This window comes from Homo sapiens, chromosome 1 (assembly GCF_000001405.40).
Source record: "Homo sapiens chromosome 1, GRCh38.p14 Primary Assembly".
Lineage (NCBI taxonomy): Eukaryota > Metazoa > Chordata > Mammalia > Primates > Hominidae > Homo > Homo sapiens.
Genome location: NC_000001.11, coordinates 156310228 through 156329118, shown reverse-complemented (window position 1 = coordinate 156329118; position 18891 = coordinate 156310228). Strand labels below are relative to the sequence as shown.

The following is an 18891-nucleotide window of genomic DNA, read 5'->3' as shown; positions in this document are numbered from 1 at the left end:
AGTGGTAAGTATTTGTATAATAAGCATAGCTAAACATAGAAAAGGTACAGTAAAAATATGATATTATAATCTTATGGGACCACTGTCATATATGTGGTCCATTGTTGGCTGAAACATTAAATGGTACGTGACTGTATTTTTTGATTATTTTTCTTTCAATATACATGATTGACACTTTGGAATTGAAACAAAATATATTGAATTCAAACACTGGAGCACATACTAATGAATAACATGTACATTTTTTTTTTTTATTTTTATTTTTATTGATCATTCTTGGGTGTTTCTCGCAGAGGGGGATTTGGCAGGGTCATAGGACAATAGTGGAGGGAAGGTCAGCAGATAAACAAATGAACAAAGGTCTCTGGTTTTCCTGGGCAGAGGACCCTGCTGCCTTCCGCAGTGTTTGTGTCCCTGGGTACTTAAGATTAGGGAGTGGTGATGACTCTTAACGAGCATGCTGCCTTCAAGCATCTGTTTAACAAAGCACATCTTGCACCGCCCTTAATCCATTTAACCCTGAGTGGACACAGCACATGTTTCAGAGAGCACAGGGTTGGGGGTAAGGTCACAGATCAACAGGATCCCAAGGCAGAAGAATTTTTCTTAGTACAGAACAAAATGAAAAGTCTCCCATGTCTACTTCTCTCTACACAGACACGGCAACCATCCGATTTCTCAATCTTTTCCCCACCTTTCCCGCCTTTCTATTCCACAAAACCGCCATTGTCATCATGGCCCGTTCTCAATGAGCTGTTGGGTAGACCTCCCAGACAGGGTCGTGGCCGGGCAGAGGGGCTCCTCACTTCCCAGTAGGGGCAGCCGGGCAGAAGCGCCCCTCACCTCCCGGATGGGGCGGCTGGCCGGGCCGGGGGCTGACCCCCCTACCTCCCTCCCGGACGGGGGGACTGACCCCCCCCACCTCCCTCCCGGACGGGGCGGCTGGCTGGGCAGAGGGGCTCCTCACTTCCCAGTAGGGGTGGCCAGGCAGAGGCGCCCCTCACCTCCCGGACGGGGCGGCTGGCTGGGCGGGGGGCTGACCCCCCCACCTCCCTGCCAGATGGGGCGGCTGGACCCCCACCTCCCTCCCGGACGGGGTGGCTGCCGGACGGAGGGGCTCCTCACTTCTCAGACAGGGCGGTTGCCAGGCAGAGGGTCTCCTCACCTCCCAGACGGGGTCGCGGCTGGGCAGAGGCGCTCCTCACATCCCAGACGGGGCGGTGGGGCAGAGGTGCTCCCCACATCCCAGACGATGGGCGGCCGGGCAGAGACGCTCCTCACTTCCTAGATGGGATGGCGGCCGGGCAGAGAAGCTCCTCACTTTCCAGACTGGGCAGCCAGGCAGAGGGGCTCCTCACATCCCAGACGATGGGCGGCCAGGCAGAGACGCTCCTCACTTCCCAGACGGGGTGGCGGCCGGGCAGAGGCTGCAATCTCGGCTCTTTGGGAGGCCAAGGCAGGCGGCTGGGAGGTGGTTGTAGCGAGCCGAGATCACGCCACTGCACTCCAGCCTGGGCACCATTGAGCACTGAGTGAACGAGACTCCGTCTGCAATCCCGGCACCTCGGGAGGCCGGGGCTGGCGGATCACTCGCGGTTAGGAGCTGGAGACCAGCCCGGCCAACACAGCGAAACCCCGTCTCCACCAAAAAAATACGAAAACCAGTCAGGCGTGGCGGCGCGCGCCTGCAATCGCAGGCACTCGGCAGGCTGAGGCAGGAGAATCAGGCAGGGAGGTTGCAGTGAGCCGAGATGGCAGTAGTACAGTCCAGCTTCAGCTCGGCATCAGAGGGAGACCGTGGAAAGAGAGGGAGAGGGAGACCGTGGAGAGGGAGAGGGGAGAGGGGAGAGGCGAGAGGCTATGTACATTTTTAAAAGCTTATTTTACCTGCCAGTAAGCAGGTAGTACAAGCAATTTGTGCAAAAGGCTTTTGACAAAAAGAATATTTACAATACTCTCTTTATACTTTTTCTAGAAACAAGCTTTTTTGTGTGTGGGTTTGCATCTATGTATATGTTATTTTGTGTGTGTCTATTAGAAAGTAAAGACAAATTTTATTTGTTTATTTATTTTGAGACAGAGTCTCACTCTATCACCCAGGCTGGGGTGCCTGGGCACAGTCTCCACTCACTGCAACCTCTGCCTCTCAGGTTCAAGCAATTCTTGTGCCTCAGCCTCCCAACTAGCTGGGATTACAGACACCCACCAACACACCTGGCTAATTTTTGTATTTTTGGTAGAGACAGTTTCACCATGTTGTCCAGGCTAGTCTCAAAACTCCTGGTCTCAAGCGATTTGCCTGCCTCGGCTTCCCAAAGTGCTGGGATTACAAGGTGTGAGCCACCATTCCCAGCCAGAAAGTAAAGACAAATTTTAAAAGAAGGAGATGTTTTACCAATAATCCCTTATCCAGAGGGTAAATTGTGTACATTTTCTTTTTTTTTTCTTTTTCTTTTTTTTTTTTTTTTTGAGATGGAGTCTCACTCTGTGGCTTAGGCTGGAGTGCAATGGCACGATCTTGGCTCACCACAACCTCCGCCTCCCTGGTTCAAGCGATTCTCCTGCCTCAGCCTCCCGAGTAGCTAGGAATACAGGCATGTGCCATCATGCCTGGCTAATTTTTGTATTTTTAGTAGAGATGGTTTCACCATGTTGGCCAGGCTGGTCATGAACTCCTGACCTCAGGTAATCCATCTGCCTTGGCCTCCCAAAGTGCTAGGATTACAGATGTGAGCCACCACACCCAGCCTTAATTGTGCACATTTTCTAATTTTAATTTTTTATTTTTTTGAAACAGAATCTTGCTCTATTGCCCAGGCTGGAGTGCAATAGTGTGATCACGGCTCACTGCAGCCTTGACCTTCTGGGCTCAATGAGTCCTCCCAGCCCAGGTTCCCAAGTAGCTACAGGCACATGCCACCATACCTGGCTAATTTTTGAATTTTTTCGTAGAGACAGGGTTTTGCTATGTTTCTCAGGCTGGTCTAAAAATTCCAGAGCTCAGGTGATCTGCTCACCCTAGCCTCCCAAAGTGCTGGGATTACAGGTGTGAGCTACCGCATCCAGCCCTGAATATTCTTTCAGAGGTAGGGTTTTGTGTGTTTTGTTTTTAGTTCAAGCAGTTTGACTACATCCTAAGGTATAAAGGTACTAATAAACAAGTCAGTTTTTCTTTTGTGCATTTTTCTTTATTTTAGAGCCTTCAGGGAAATTTTTTTTTAGAAAGATCAAGAGAAGGCCAGGCGTGGTAGCTTACGCCTGTAATCCCAGCACTTTGGGTGGCCGAGGTGGACAGATCACCTGAGGTCACGAGTTCGAGACCAGCCTGGCCAACCAACATAGTAAAACCCGTCTCTACTAATAAAGTACAAAAGTTAGCTGGGTGTGGTGATGCATGCATGTAATCCCAGCTACTTGGGAGGCCGAGGTGGGAAAATCGCTTGAATCTGGGAGGCGGAGGTTGCAGTGAGCAGAGATTGCGCCACCGCACTCCAGCCTGGGCGACACAGCGAGACTGCTTCTCAAAAAAAAAAAAAAAAAATCAAAAGAATAAGTAAGCCCTAGAATCAGTCTTTCATCATTTTATTTTTTGAGATAGGGTCTCACTCTGTCACCCAGATTGGAGTGCAATGGTGCGGTCATGGCTCATTGCACCCTCAACCTCCTGGGCTCAAGTGATCCTCTTAACCTCAGCCTCCTGAGTAGCTGGGACTGCAGGCTCATACCACCACACTAAGCTAAATTTTAAATTTTTTTGTAAAGACAGGGTCTCACTGTGTTGCCCAGGCTGATCTTGAATTTCTGGGATTACAGGTATGAGCCACCATGCCTAGCCTGGGCAACAAGGATGTTTTCTGTATAAATTGCCGTCTTATACAATGTGTAGAATTTGGAATAGTATGAATGGCCAAATGTCATACCTTTTGGGAGAGTCTGATTTAGGAGAGTATTTTTTGGAAGAATAATTAAGTTACTTGCCTTGATATCCAGATGCTTTAAATATTACTATGGTGCTTGTATCTTTTTCAGCAGGGGAAATGCTGTCTGTAGCTGAGCACTTCCTGGAGCAGCAGATGCACCCAACAGTGGTGATCAGTGCTTACCGCAAGGCATTGGATGATATGATCAGCACCCTAAAGAAAATAAGGTATCTTGGGGGCAAGAAATAGGTAGTATCAAATATGAGAGGCCTGGCTAGACGTGGTGGCTCATGGCTGTCATCCCAGCACTTTGGGAGGCCTAGGCGGGTGGATCTTGAGGTCAGGAGATGGAAACCATCCTGGCCAACATGGTGAAACCTCGTCTGTACTAAAAATACAAAAAATTAGTTGGGCATGGTGGCGCATGCGTGTCGTCCCAGCTACTTGGGAGGCTGAGGCAGGAGAATTGCCTGAACCAGGGAGTCAGAGGTTGCAGTGAGCTGAGATGGCCCCACTGTGCTCCAGCCTGGTGACAGAGCAAGACTCCGTCTCAAAAAAAATCAGCTGGGTATGGTGGCGCACACCTGTAATGCCAGCTACTCAGGAGGATGAGGCAGAAAAATTGCTTGAAACCAGGGGGCGGAGATTGCAGTGAGCCAAGATCTCTCCACTGCACTCCAACCTGAGCAACAAGAGCGAAACTCCCATCTCAGAAGAAAAAAAAGAAAAGCATATATTACCTCTAGCTTCAGGGAATTTTAGTTAAGGTTTAACATCACGTAGAGTCATGTAGAGCAGTGTCTTGAATAAAAATTTTTGTTTAAAAAGTAAAACCTGGCAGGGCTCGGTGGCTCACGCCTGTAATCCCATCACTTTGGCCCAGGTGGGTGGATCACGAGGTCAGGAGTTAGAGACCAGCCTGGCCAACATGGTGAAACCTCGTCTCTACTAAAAGTACAGAAAATTAGCTGGGCATGGTGGCAGGCGCCTGTAATCCCAGCTATTCAGGAGGCTGAGGCAGGAGAATCGCTTGGACCCGGGAGGCGAAGGTTTCAGTGAGCCGAGATTGTGCCACTGCACTCCAGCCTGGGTGACAGAGTGAGACTCTGTCTCAAAAAAATAAAAAGTAAGACTTGGGCTGGGCATGGTGGCTCACACCTGTAATCCTAGCACTTTGGGAGGCCAAGGCGGGTGGATCACCTGAGGTCAGGAGTTCAAGACCAGCCTGGCCAAGATGGTGAAACCTCATTTCTACTAAAAATGCAAAAATTAGCCAGGTGTGGTTGCATGCGCCTGTAATCCCAGCTACTCGGGGGGCTGAAGCAGGAGAATCACTTGAACCCGGGAGGCGGAGTTTGTGGTGAGCCAGGATCGCACCATTGCACTCCAGCCTGGGCGAACAACAAAACTCCATCTCAAAAAAAATAAAAATAGGGCTGGGTGCGGTGGCTCACGTCTGTAATCCCAGCACTTTGGGAGGCGGAGGCGGGCGGATCACGAGGTCAGGAGATTGAGACCATCCTGGCTAACATGGTGAAACCCCATCTCTACTAAAAATACAAAAAAATAAGCCGGGCGTGGTGGCAGGTGCCTATAGTCCCAGCTACTTGGGAGGCTGAGGCAGGAGAATGGCATGAACCCGGGAGGCAGAGCTTGCAGTGAGCAGAGATTGCACCACTGCACTCCAGGCTGGGCGACAGAGCGAGACTCCATCTCAAAAATAAATAAATAAAAATAAAAATGTATATTTTTTCCACGCCCAACTGGAAATAGTTTTTTTTTTCTTTATTTAAATATTCTACTCATATGGTTGAGTCACTAGATGCATAAGTGTTTAGTAATTTGGTGAGGTTTATATTATACTGCCTGCTCTTTTTTTTTTTTCTTGAGACGGAGTTTTTGTACTTGTTGCCCAGTCTGGAGTGCAATGAATGGCGCGATCTCGGCTCACTGCAACCTCCACCTCCCAGGTTCAAGTGATTATCCTGCCTCAGACTCTCGAGTAGCTGGGATTACAGGCATGTGCATCCACATCCGGCTAATTTTGTATTTTTAGTAGAGACAGGGTTTCTCCATGTTGGTCAGGCTGGTCTCAAACTTTCAACCTCAGGTGATCCACCCACCTTGACCTCCCGAAGTGCTGGGATTACAGGCGTGAGCCACCGCGCCTGGCCATATACTGCCTGCTCTTAAACAAGTTGTACATTAATATCTTTGTCTGGCACACTTAAGAATGAGGTGTTTGATCTAATTATTTTTATGCAGTAAGCTCTGTGAGAATGTAGAGGTACCCAAAGGTTTTATTGTGTGGAGCTTCACGCTTAGAAAGCCTTTTTTTTGAGACGGAGTTTCACTCTTGTTGCTCAGGCTGGAATGCAATAGCTGGATCTCAGCTCACTACAACCTCTGCTCCCTGGCTTCAAGCAGTTTTCCTGCCTCAGCCTCCCGAGTAGCTGGGATTATAGGCATGTGCCACTACGCCTGGCTAATTTTGTATTTTTAGTAGAGACGGAGTTTTTCTCCACATTGGTCAGGCTGGTCTCAAACTCCCGACCTCAGGTGATCCGCCTGCCTCGGCCTCCCAAGGTGCTGGGATTACAGGCGTGAGCCACCGTGCCTGGCCTGAAATATTTTTTTTTTTTAATCAAGTAATAACTGCCTACCTAGAACACTTTAATCTTATTAAAAAAATTTTTTTGGGGTGGCGGGGGGTCTCGCTCTGTTTTCCAGGCTGGAGTGTGCAGTGGCATGATCTCGGCTCACTGCAACCTCCGCCTCTTCGGTTCAAGCAATTCTGTCTCAGCCTCCCAAGTAGCTGGGACTACAGGCGCATACCACCACACCTAGCTAATTTTGGTATTTTTAGTAGAGATGGGGTTTCACCATATTGGTGAAGCTGGTCTCAAACTCCTGACCTCAGGTGATCCTACCACCTCGGCCTCCCAAAAAAATTATTTTTTAGAGATATGGTCTCACTCTGTTGCCTAAGCTGGAGTGCGGTGGTGCAGTCACAGCTTACTGCAGCTTCCAGCTCCTGGGCTCAAGCAATCCTGCCCCAGCTTCCCAAGTAGCTAGGACTATAGGTATGTCCACCACGCCCTGCTAAATTTTTCATAGAGATGAGGTTTTGCTATGTTGCCCAGGTTGGTTTTTAACTCTGGGCTTCCAGCTATCCTCAGTCTTCCAAAGTGTTGGGTTTACAGGCGTGAAGCATGGCACCCAGCCCCCTTTATCTTAGATACCATTTTTGGAGTCATTGCTTCTTCCCAAAAGTCCATAATTCAACCATTTAATAATTGGTATATTATGTGCCTTTCACTGTTAAAAGAGGGATTTTGTTTATTTTGGGGTTTTTTTGAGACGGAATCTCACTCTGTCACCCAGGCTGTCGTGCAGTGACATGATCTCAGGTCACTGCAACCTCTGCCTCTGGAGTAACTGGGACTACAGGCACATGCCACCACTCCTGGCTAATTTTTGTATTTTTAATAGAGATGGGGTTTCACCATATTGGCCAGGCTGGTCTCGAACTCCTGACCTCAAGTGATCTGCCCGCCTTGGCCTCCCAAAGTGCTGGGATTACAGGCGTGAGCCACCGTGCACAGCCAAAAAAGAGATTTTAGCATTATGTGAAAATATCTTGTGAGGAGTGAAAGTAATATAAAAATGGTAAATACATAAAATGTGTTTACAGTAACATAAAAACACAAAGATGACCAGTTGGTGGTCATCTTTGACCACTGTGACACACCATGAGCTAAAAATAAAATTTGCTGTTCAAATGAATGATTTGATAAAACTCTTAAAGTTGGCTAGTTATGGGATAAAGTTTCATAAAAAAAAATGTGTCTTGACCTGAGTTGTAAAAGTTGAAAAGTTTACTTGGTTGAAGCAGAAGATAAGGAACAAATTATTTTACTATAATCTTTGTATGTAAGTGTAAAGGGTTGCTCAGGGAATTAAGGCACCGTCTACAGATGAGTTGTAATCTTGCTGAAAGGCAGAGGAATGGACAAAGGTTACCTCCTAATGTCCTTTTAGTTTCCTCCAAAGGAACAAATCCCCTTGTTCTGCCTCTTGGTCCATTATTATAGTCACTGAGGTATAGATAAGGCACATCTCTACATATCTAACATGCCTTCTTCACATATCGTCTGGTTTTCTTTTCTCTAGTATCCCAGTCGACATCAGTGACAGTGATATGATGCTGAACATCATCAACAGCTCTATTACTACCAAAGCCATCAGTCGGTGGTCATCTTTGGCTTGCAACATTGCCCTGGATGCTGTCAAGATGGTACAGTTTGAGGAGAATGGTCGGAAAGAGATTGACATAAAAAAATATGCAAGAGTGGAAAAGGTAAACTTTCAAAGTGTATACATTGGGTCAAATTATATGTTAGCATGAGTCATCTCACTTGTGAGGAAATAGTCTGTTTTTCATGCCGTTGTTTTGTTTTGTTTTTGAGACAGAGTCTCACCTTGTTGCCTAGGCTGGAGTATAGTGGCACAGTCACAGCCCACTGCAGCCTCAAACTCCTGGCCTCAAGCAAATCCTCTGATTTGCTAGGACTACAGGCACATGCCACTGTGCCCAGCAAATTTTTTTTCTTTTTGTAGAGATGAGGGTCTCATGTTGCCCAGGCTGGTCTTGAACTCCTGGCCTCAAGTGATCTTCCCACCTCAGGCTCTCAAAGTGCTGGGATTATAGGCATAAGCCATCATACCCTACTTGAATGAAATAGTTTTAAATCAGAGCAAGGTATGTTTTTTGTTTGTTTGTTTTTTTGAGATGGAGTCTTGCTCTGTCGCGCAGAGGCTAGAGTGCAGTGGTGCGATCTCGGCTCACTGTAGCCTCCACCTCCCGGGTTCGAGTGATCTCCTGCCTCAGCCTTTAAAATAGTTGGGATTACAGATGCCTGCCACCACGCCCAGCTAATTTCTTTTTGTATTTTAAGTAGAGACGGGGTTTCACCATGTTAGCCAGGATGGTCTCGAACTCCTGACCTCAGTGATCTGCCCACCTTTGCCTCACAAAGTGCTGGGATTATAGGGTGAGCCACTGCGCCTGACCAAAGCAAGGTATCTTTAGTTAGAACTAGGAAGAACTATACTTGCTGCCTGGAAACAAAAACCTATAAGAGGCTACCAAGTAGGAATTTCTTCAAATAGTTTTGTTGTTACCTTCACTGCTATCCCTACACAAGGTTTATGAGGACAAGGGACAGGCTTATTGGTGTCTCCATGTTTGTGTATTTGCATACATCAGTCATTTGGTCAGGATATAAGCTTAACAAGGGCTCTATTATGTAGTGCTATTAAAATAGTAAGCCCCAGAAAGCTTTCTCTCCTGTCCACTAAATTTCATTAAGATCCAAAAGTTTAGTAGTATAGCTTGTGGCCAGTAGATGGAGCCCCAAGCCTAAAATTCTCTGGCAATATATTTATTTTTTTAATTGGAGAGACCTAAGCCCTTATTTATTTATTTAAATAGCAATTGGGTCTCAATGTGTTGCCCAGGCTGGTCTCGAACTCCCGGCCTCAAGGGATCCTCCTGCCTGAGCCTCTTGAGTAGCTGGGATTTTAGGTGTGAACCACTGTGCCTGGCTCATAAGCCCCTCTAAGTCTTTTGTCAAGTCATTGAATTTCAGTGAGTCTCAGCAGACCTTCAAGTTGAGTGTCATGGTCTAAAATTGGTGTATTTCCTAATGGGAAAAAAATGTGATTCCAATAATATTTTTGAGCTTCATCAAAGAAAGGTACTTTAGAAACCTGAAACACTGGGCCGGGCGTGGTGGCTCATGCCTGTAATCCCAGCACTTTGGGAGGCCGAGGCGGGCGGATCACGAGGTCAGGAGATCGAGACCATCCTGGCTAACATGGTGAAACCCCATCTCTAGTAAAATACAAAAAAAAAAATTAGCCGGGTGTGGTGGCGGGCGCCTGTAGTCCCAGCTACTTGGGAGTCTGAGGCAGGAGAATGGCGTGAACCCGGGAGGCGGAGCTTGCAGTGAGCCGAGATTGCACCACTGCACTCCAGCCTGAGCGACAGAGCGAGACTCCATCTCAAAAAAAAAAAAAAACCTGAAACACTAGCTGTTTGGGAAAGATGAACATCTGGGAAGGAAATTAAGAAATTGTCTCTTGATTGTGGATTAAAGTGCAGTTGTCTTTTGTTCAGATACCTGGAGGCATCATTGAAGACTCCTGTGTCTTGCGTGGAGTCATGATTAACAAGGATGTGACCCATCCACGTATGCGGCGCTATATCAAGAACCCTCGCATTGTGCTGCTGGATTCTTCTCTGGAATACAAGAAAGGAGAAAGCCAGGTAAGGTTCTTGGCCTTGTTCCTTAAAGTAGATGCAAGAATCTGACTGCAAATATGAACAACAGAAATAAAACGTATGTTTATTGCATGCCTTCTGGGTGCATAGTGTACACTGACTCTTAGAACAATCCTTTAGAATAGTTGGTATTGATTTCATTTTACAGATGAGGGATCTGAAGCTCAAACAAGTTAGGTTAATTGCTTGAGGAATACAGCTAGTATTGGCCAAAATCAAGATTTGAACCTGGTTGTGTTTGGCTTGTTTTATACGATCATGCTGCCTTTCCTAATGCACCAGGGGAACATAAGGTAGGAGTTAATTCAGCTTTGAAGTACTAAAGGAGAATTTCAGCTTAATGCAGTGGCTCACACCTATAATTCTAGCACTTTGGGAGGCTAAGGCAGGTGGATGGCTCGAGCCCAGGAGTTCAAGACCAGCCTAGGCAACATGTCGAATACTGTCTTTATTTAAAAAAAATTAATTGGGCGTGGTGGCATGTGCCTGTAGTCCCCACTACTTGGGAGGCTGAGGTGAGAGGATTGCTTGAACCCAGAAGGTCAAGGGTGCAAGGAGCTGTGATCACGCCACTGAACTCCAGCCTGAGCAACAGTGAGACCCTGTCTCAAAAAAAAAAAAAAAAAAATTCTAGAGGGCAGGAGGCTCACAAGGCTCCATCACATTTGGAAAGAATAAGAATCAATTAGTGGGAAGAATTAAGACCCAGGATTTTCCTGCACACTGCCAGGACAGATGTAGGATTGGACTGGGTGGTCAGAGACCTTAGAAAGGCCAAACTCAACACTAATTACTGTGTGACTTTCAGTTCTGGTTGTTTTATAATGATATAACTGGAGCTGGCCGGGCGTGGTGGCTCACGCCTGTAATCCCAGCACTTTGGGAGGCAGAGGCGGGCGGATCACGAAGTCAGAAGATCGAGACCATCCTGGCTAACGTGGTGAAACCCCGTCTCTACTAAAAATACAAAAAAAAAGTTAGCTGGGGGTGGTGGCAGGCACCTGTAGTCCCAGCTACTCGGGAGGCTGAGGCAGGAGAATCGCTTGAACCCAGGAGGCAGAGCTTGCAGTGAGCCAAGATCGCGCCATTACACTCCAGCCTGGGTGACAGAGCAAGATTCCGTCTCAAAAAAAAAAAAAAGCAAAACTAAAGCTAAATTGGCTTACAGAGGTGTTGAGGTCATGGCTTTAACATAATTCTGACTCTGAGATACGTGGGAGAGGTGGGTGGAAGGAGTATAATATGACCCTTAGAGCTTCACCAGTCCAGGGATTTTAAAATCAGTGTCTTTTCTTTACCACACAGACTGACATTGAGATTACACGAGAGGAGGACTTCACCCGAATTCTCCAGATGGAGGAAGAGTACATCCAGCAGCTCTGTGAGGACATTATCCAACTGAAGCCCGATGTGGTCATCACTGAAAAGGGCATCTCAGGTGGGACTTTGTTACTTTTTCCAGCCTACCTTTGAGGTAGACGAGGGTGGGTGATTTGTTTTCTCCCCTCATGTTTGGCAGGGGCGTAATAGTGTCATGGTTAAGAGTACTTTGATTATAAAACCAGTTCAGAACCCAGCTTGACATCTCTACTCTTGGATTTGTAGATTTAGCTCAGCACTACCTTATGCGGGCCAATATCACAGCCATCCGCAGAGTCCGGAAGACAGACAATAATCGCATTGCTAGGTGAGTAGGCCAGGTAAAAACAAGACTTTTCTTCCCGTGTGTTTCCTTTTTGTAGTTGCGTAACAGTCATCATTACCTGAAAAGGTTTAATAAAGGATATAGTAACAGGTAGAAATAACCTTGGCTTAGCTGCCTGCCCTCTTCAGAAGTCCTCTAGTCCAACAGTTATTTACTGCGTGAGTCTCATCTGTACTGCCCCTAACCATTAGTGAGCAGCTTGTGCTTAGACATTTGTAATTGCTACCTTGGTGGGTGTCCGTTACATTTCTAAATAACTGCCTATCTAAGAGGTTTTCTTTAATGTCATTATGATGATTTTTGAATGAACATTTCCAGAGTATCCTAAGTGGCCTGGATTATAGCAGAACCATCAGTTTCCTCAGCTACATCCTTAGCTGCGATTTATGCGATTCTAGATTGCATTCACTACTTCTGCACTGATGTCTGTGCTCATAGACCATTCTTTTTAATAGACAAGGTCTTGCTGTGTTACCTAGGCCTGTCTCAAACTCCTGGGCTCAAGCAGTCATCCTGTTGTCAGCCTTTCCAGTACCTGAAACTATTGGCATGCGCCACCATGCCCAGCAAAGTTCATTCATTTTTAATTTATCAAAAAGCTGACAAATCTACCCCAACATAATATATCACAGATCCAAATCATATTTTATACTTTTATACCCCAAAGGGTATTAACATGCATACACATAGTTGACTTCACATGGCCATGAGTTGGAGGGAGTGACAAGCAATTAGTCCTACATTCATTAAACTTCGGTCAGACGTATGCAGTCATCCCTTGATATCCACAGGGCATTGGTTCTAGGATCCCCGCCCCCTTGAATACTAAAGTTTGTGGATGCTTAACCCTTATATAAAATGGTATGGTATTTGTGTATAACCTATACACATCCTTCTATACACTTTAAATCACCTTTAGATTGCTTATAATGCCTAATATAGCATAAATGCTATATAAATAGTTGCTATACTATATTGTCTTTAAAATTTATATTATTTTTTGCCGTTGTATTATTGTCCATCCCCCCACCCCACCCCCCCTGCCATGTTATCAGTGCATGGTTGGTGGAATCTGGATGCGGGACCTGCGGATATAGAGGGCCAACTCTACTTACATGTTTATTCGCCTTCCTCCTTGCTTGACCTTTGCATCTTTGGTACAGTCTTTATTATTCGCCTGGAGACTCAACTGGGCAGTACAGGATGGGTTATATCTAGAAGTTACCATTATATAGTATAGACATGTTAATTTTTTTCTTTTATCTTTCTTTTTTGCAGGTTCTAATTCTCTAGTTGAAATATGTACATGTTAGATATGCATGAGAACTAATTTGTCCAGATTTTAGTAACCACAAAGTATATTTTGAATTCAACTATATCTGGTTATAGTAGTGATGACTAGTTGCCTTAAGTGTACAGTTGACCCTTGAACAACTTGGGGGTTAGGGGAATCAGTCCCCAAGGAGTTGAAAATCCATGTATAATTTTTTGACTCCCCCACTCCTAATAGCTGACCGTTGACCCGAACCCTTACCAATAACACAATTAACTATCACATATTTTGTATATCATATGTGTTATATACTGTATTCCCTTAAATAAAGTAAGCTAGAGAAAATGTTATTAAGAAAATCATAAGGGCAGGGCACGGTGGCTCATGCCTGTAATCCCAGCACTTTGGGAGGCCAAGGCAGGTGGATCACCTGAGGTGAGGAGTTCAAGACCAGCCTGGCCAACATGGTGAAACCCCATCTCTAATAATAATACAAAAATTAGCTAGGTGTGGTGGTGCATGCCTGTAATCCCAGCTACTCGGGAGGCTGAGGCAGGAGAATTGCTTGAACCAAGGAGGCGGAGGTTGCAGTAAGCTGAGATGGTGCCATTGCACTCCAACCTGGGCGACAAGAGTGAAAGTCCGTCTCCAAAAAAAGAAAATCATAAGGAAGAGATAACACATTTACTATGCCTTAAGTGGAAGTAGATCATCAAAAAGGTCATCATCATCTTCATGTTGAATAGGCTGTGGAGGAAGAACGGGCTGGTCTTTCTGTCTTGGGTGTCAGAGGCAGAAGAGTGGTAGAAGGGGAGGCAGGATGGGCAGGAGGCACACTCAGTGTAACTCAATGGAAATACATCGTGATTTGTCTGACTTCTGCTTTTTTGTTTCTCTAAAAATATTTCTGTATAGTACCAGTCCCTCTTCCACTGCTTCAGTTTCAGTGCCTCTATCATAGAAGGGTCCATATCATAAAAGAAGTCAAAAGCAGTCTTGAATAATCAGAAGCCTTCTGCCAGATTGTCTAATGTCAGTTTGTTTTCTGGCACTGCTGCTTCTACATCATCTTCCTCATCGTCTGGCACTGCTTTGGAAGCAGTCGTCTCCATCAAGTCATCTTCTGTTTGGTTTTTTTTGTTTTTATTTTTTATTTTTTTGAGATGGAGTTTCGCTCTTGTCGCCCACGCTGGAGTGCAGTGGCACAATCTTGGCTCACCACAACCTCCGCCTCCTGGGTTCAAACGATTCTCCTGTCTCAGCCTCCCGAGTAGCTGGGATTACAGGCGTGAGCCACCAAGCCCAGCTAATTTTGTATTTTTAGTAGAGACGGGGTTTCTCCATGTTGGTCAGGCTGGTCTTGAACTCCCGACCTCAGGTGATCCACCCACCTCAGCCTCCCAAAGTGCTGGGATTACAGGCGTGAGCCACTGCACCTGGCCTGTCATCTTGTGTTAATTCCTCTGATGTAATGTCTGTTAGCTCTTGAGTTTCTCCAAGATTCATATCTTGAAACCCTTCACCACCGCTATGCCAGTTTTTTTAGCCACATCCACAGTCTCTTTCATGATTTCCTTGATTGGCTCTGTCATAAATCCTACGAAGTCATGTACAACATCTGGACACAGTTTGCTCCTGCAGAAATCTATTGTTTTGGGCTTGATGGCTTTCATAAGCTTTATCTATAACAACTGTGGCATCTTCAGTAATGTAATCCTTTCATATTTTCATCATGTTCTCTTTGTTGGGGTTCTCTTTCATAATGTTGACTTTTTTTTTTTTTTTTTTGGAGACAGAGTCTCGCTCTGTTGCCAGGCTGGAGTGCAGTGGTGTGATCTTGGCTCACTGCACCCTCCGCCTCCTGGTTCAAGCGATTCTCCTGCCTCAGCCTCCCGAGTAGCTGGGACTACAGGTGCGCACCACCATGCCCAGCTAATTTTTGTATTTTTAGGAAAGACGGGTTTTCACCATGTTGGCCAGGATGGTCTCAATCTCTTGACCTCGTGATCCGCCCGCCTTGGCCTCCCAAAGTGCTGGGATTACAGGCATGAGCCACCGTGCCCAGCCGACGGTTCTTTACATGAAGTACCATGTGTAATAAGCCTTACAGGTCCTTCTCTGACTGTGTGGTCTAGAGTATTTGAATGTCTTCAGTGTTGAACTCATGGGGCTCTGGGTAGCCAGGGGCATTGTCCAATATCAGAAGCACTTTAAAAGGCAGTCCCTTTCTGGAAAAGTACTTCCTGACTTCAAGGACAAAGCATCGATGGAAGTAATCCAGAAAAAGTATTCTTGTTGTCCAGGCCTGGTTGTACACTACAAGACATAAACTTGACTGCCCAAGGGACAGGCTAACTCCTTTGCACAAAATCCTGGTGCTCCCTTCTCTTTCTTACTAATAAATGTCATTTGTGGCATAATCTTCCTGATTAGGTCGCTTTCATATACATTAAAATTGTATTTAGGCAGATACCATTTCTCCTCAATGATTTCTCTCTCTCTCTCTCTCTCTTTTTTTTTTTTTCTTTTTTTTTTTGAGACAGAATCTTACTCTGTCACCCAGGCTGGAGTGCAGTGGTGAAATCTCAGCTCGCTGCAACCTCTGCTTCCTGGGTTCAAGTGATTCTCCTGCCTCAGGCTCCCAAGTAGCTGGGAGTACAGGCGTGTGCCATGACACCTGGCTAATTTTTTCTTGTATTTTTAGTAGAGGCGGGGTTTCACCAGGCTGGTCTCGAACTCCTGACCTCAAGTCATCCACCCACCTCGGCCTTCCAAAGTGTTAGGATTACAGGCGTAAGCCACCAAGCCCAGCCCTCAATCATTTTCTTAATGGTATCTGGGAACATGTCTGCTGTTTCTTGGTCAGCAGAAGCTGTTTCCTGCTATCTTGACATTTTAAAAGCCAAACAAACCTCTTTCTAAAATTATCAAACCATCCTTTGCTGGCATTAAATTCTCCAGCTTTAGATCTTTCACCTTCCTTTTCTGATGAGGTATCATAATGATTTCACATTTTTTCAAATCATATTAGTGTATATAGGTATGCTGTTCTTACCTATATAAAACCTGCATTTTCAATATGAGATTAATAGGTATATTTCTCAAAAAGCACAGGGTTTTCACAGCTGCTGGCATAGCTGCAGTGCTGCTGTAACTGCAATGATGGCTTCAGTTTTTTTTGTTGTTGTTTTTTGGGGTTTTTGTGTTTGTTTTTTTTTAGATAGGGTCCCACTCTGTTATCTAGGCTGGAGTGCAGTGGCATGGTCACAGCTCACTGCATCCTTGATATCATGGTTTCAAGGGATCCCTCACCTCACCCTCCTGAGTAGCTGGAGCTACAGGTATGCATCACTGTGCCCAGCTAGTTTTTTATTTTTTGTAGAGACAGAGTCTTGTTATGTTGCCCGGGCTGGTCTCAAACTTCTGGGCTCAAGCAATCCTTTTGCCTGGCCTCCCAAAGTACTGGGATTACAAGTGTGAGCCACTGTGCCTGGCCCCCTGAAAATCTTTTTCACCGGACAGGCAAGACCTCTTAAGTGATGTTTCCAACAATCCACTTTTGCCCTTATCCCTAGCTACAGACCCTAGAGACTAGGGAAATGGGTACAAGTATCTGAAATCATCTGATTCTCCCCACCTCTTCCGTCCATTAGAGCCTGTGGGGCCCGGATAGTCAGCCGACCAGAGGAACTGAGAGAAGATGATGTTGGAACAGGAGCAGGCCTGTTGGAAATCAAGAAAATTGGAGATGAATACTTTACTTTCATCACTGACTGCAAAGACCCCAAGGCCTGCACCATTCTCCTCCGGGGGGCTAGCAAAGAGATTCTCTCGGTGAGTCAGCCTTGGATGTATGACCAGATGAAGTAGATCACTGAACTTCTTGAGAGTTTCCCAAAGGGCCTAAAATAATTCTGTGGTCCATTTATAGCTATTTAATTTGGACCTATAGCCACAAATTCCTTTTCTGCTTCCTTTTTTTAATTAAATAATTTAAAATTTTAAAAATTGTAGTAAGCATAAAATTTACCATCTTAATCATTTTAATTGTACAGTTCAGTAATGTTAAGTATATTCATGTTATTGTGCAAGAGATCTTCAGAACTTTTTCATCTTGCAGAACTGAGACTCTGTACCCATCAAACAAGATATCTCATCTCCTACTCCCTAGCAACAACTGTTTTCTTATTTTTTACGTTGAAGTTATAAATATTACTTTTTTTTCCTCATTGAGGCTAAGTAACTTTCCCAAAGGCACATAGCTAGTAAGTAGGAGAGTGTACAACACCATGCAACCTCCTAAAAGATACAACTAGGAAGGGGTGGAATAGGTTATGGCTCTTATCTATCAAGATACATGCTGTTTATTTCCATATAACTGGCAAGGGATGAAATAGGTTATTGCTCTTAATCTAGCATAATGGACAAAGACCTAACTTTATGGTTGGGTGACACCCCCAAACCCTTTGCAGATACCACTCCCCGCCATCCTATATTATAGTCGTGTGTTATATATTCTCAGGTAAATAATCTGCCCTGCCCAGTAGGGGTTCCAAGGACCTTTTCTAGTTGCCCTCCTTGGTGGTTTACTAACTTTGGCAGTTAGGAAGTCCTTTTGGTGCCTCCGATTTTATGAGTCATCAAGCTTTGGCTTCATACTGTCTGTTTGCTTCTCCAAGGAAGTAGAACGCAACCTCCAGGATGCCATGCAAGTGTGTCGCAATGTTCTCCTGGACCCTCAGCTGGTGCCAGGGGGTGGGGCCTCCGAGATGGCTGTGGCCCATGCCTTGACAGAAAAATCCAAGGCCATGACTGGTGTGGAACAATGGCCATACAGGGCTGTTGCCCAGGCCCTAGAGGTCATTCCTCGTACCCTGATCCAGAACTGTGGGGCCAGCACCATCCGTCTACTTACCTCCCTTCGGGTGAGTTCCTCTCCAAGCTTTTCTCTTGATGGAGCAGGGAAAGCTGTGTTTGCCCTGAGGGGAAGATTCTTATCTGGCTATCCAAATTCTCTTTATAGTCTATTCCTTGAAATCTTTCTCTCCTTTTAGTCTTTGACTTGTTTGCTGTCATTGCCATTTTTCCCTGTCCCTTCCATACTGGTCCATTGTTTTTTACTTCATTTCTTACCTGATGTTTCCTGTTAACTTATTTTCCCCTTTACTTCTTGCTTCAATTGCAGGCCAAGCACACCCAGGAGAACTGTGAGACCTGGGGTGTAAATGGTGAGACGGGTACTTTGGTGGACATGAAGGAACTGGGCATATGGGAGCCATTGGCTGTGAAGCTGCAGACTTATAAGACAGCAGTGGAGGTAAGGCACCCTAAGATATGTACACGCTGTTTTAATTAATTTATTTATTTATCTATTTATTTATTTTTGAGACGCAGTCTCAGTCACCCAGGCTGGAGTGCAGTGGTGTGATCTCGGCTCACTGCAATCTCCGCCTCCCGGGTTCAAGCAATTCTTGTGCCTCAACCTCCCAAGTAGCTGGGGCTACAGGCATGCACCACCACTCCCAGCTAATTTTTGTATTTTTTAGTAGAGATAGGGTTTCACTATGTTGTTCAGGCTGGTCTCGAACTCCTGACCTCAGATGATCTACCCACCTTGGCCTCCCAAAGTGCTGGAGTTACAGGCATG

At 45.6% G+C, this 18891-nt stretch overlaps 1 protein-coding gene across 4 annotated transcripts in view, besides 2 other annotated features; it reads left to right on the top strand.

The window, feature by feature from the left end:
* CCT3 (chaperonin containing TCP1 subunit 3) overlaps positions 1-18891 on the top strand; it is a 29325-nt gene that overhangs the window by 9174 nt on the left and 1260 nt on the right. For all 4 annotated transcript variants that reach the window (NR_036564.2, NR_036565.2, NM_001008800.3 and 1 more), the window contains 8 exons: positions 4030-4147; positions 8094-8280; positions 10102-10251; positions 11572-11704; positions 11872-11953; positions 16898-17078; positions 17924-18169; positions 18430-18561. Coding sequence is in view for 2 of the 4 variants with exons in the window: in NM_001008800.3 (NP_001008800.1) it covers positions 4030-4147; positions 8094-8280; positions 10102-10251; positions 11572-11704; positions 11872-11953; positions 16898-17078; positions 17924-18169; positions 18430-18561 (1229 nt within the window). In the remaining 2 variants the exon portion in view is untranslated. The remainder of the gene's footprint in view (positions 1-4029; positions 4148-8093; positions 8281-10101; positions 10252-11571; positions 11705-11871; positions 11954-16897; positions 17079-17923; positions 18170-18429; positions 18562-18891) is intronic.
* Positions 193-1038: an enhancer, noted in NCBI's record as "NANOG-H3K27ac hESC enhancer chr1:156297872-156298717 (GRCh37/hg19 assembly coordinates)". NCBI's record gives its function as "activates a minimal SCP1, AML or CMV promoter by ChIP-STARR-seq in naive H9 embryonic stem cells {active_cell/tissue: H9 hESC(naive)}" and the evidence as "EXISTENCE:reporter gene assay evidence [ECO:0000049][PMID:30033119]".
* Positions 1039-1885: an enhancer, noted in NCBI's record as "H3K27ac hESC enhancer chr1:156297025-156297871 (GRCh37/hg19 assembly coordinates)". NCBI's record gives its function as "activates a minimal SCP1, AML or CMV promoter by ChIP-STARR-seq in naive H9 embryonic stem cells {active_cell/tissue: H9 hESC(naive)}" and the evidence as "EXISTENCE:reporter gene assay evidence [ECO:0000049][PMID:30033119]".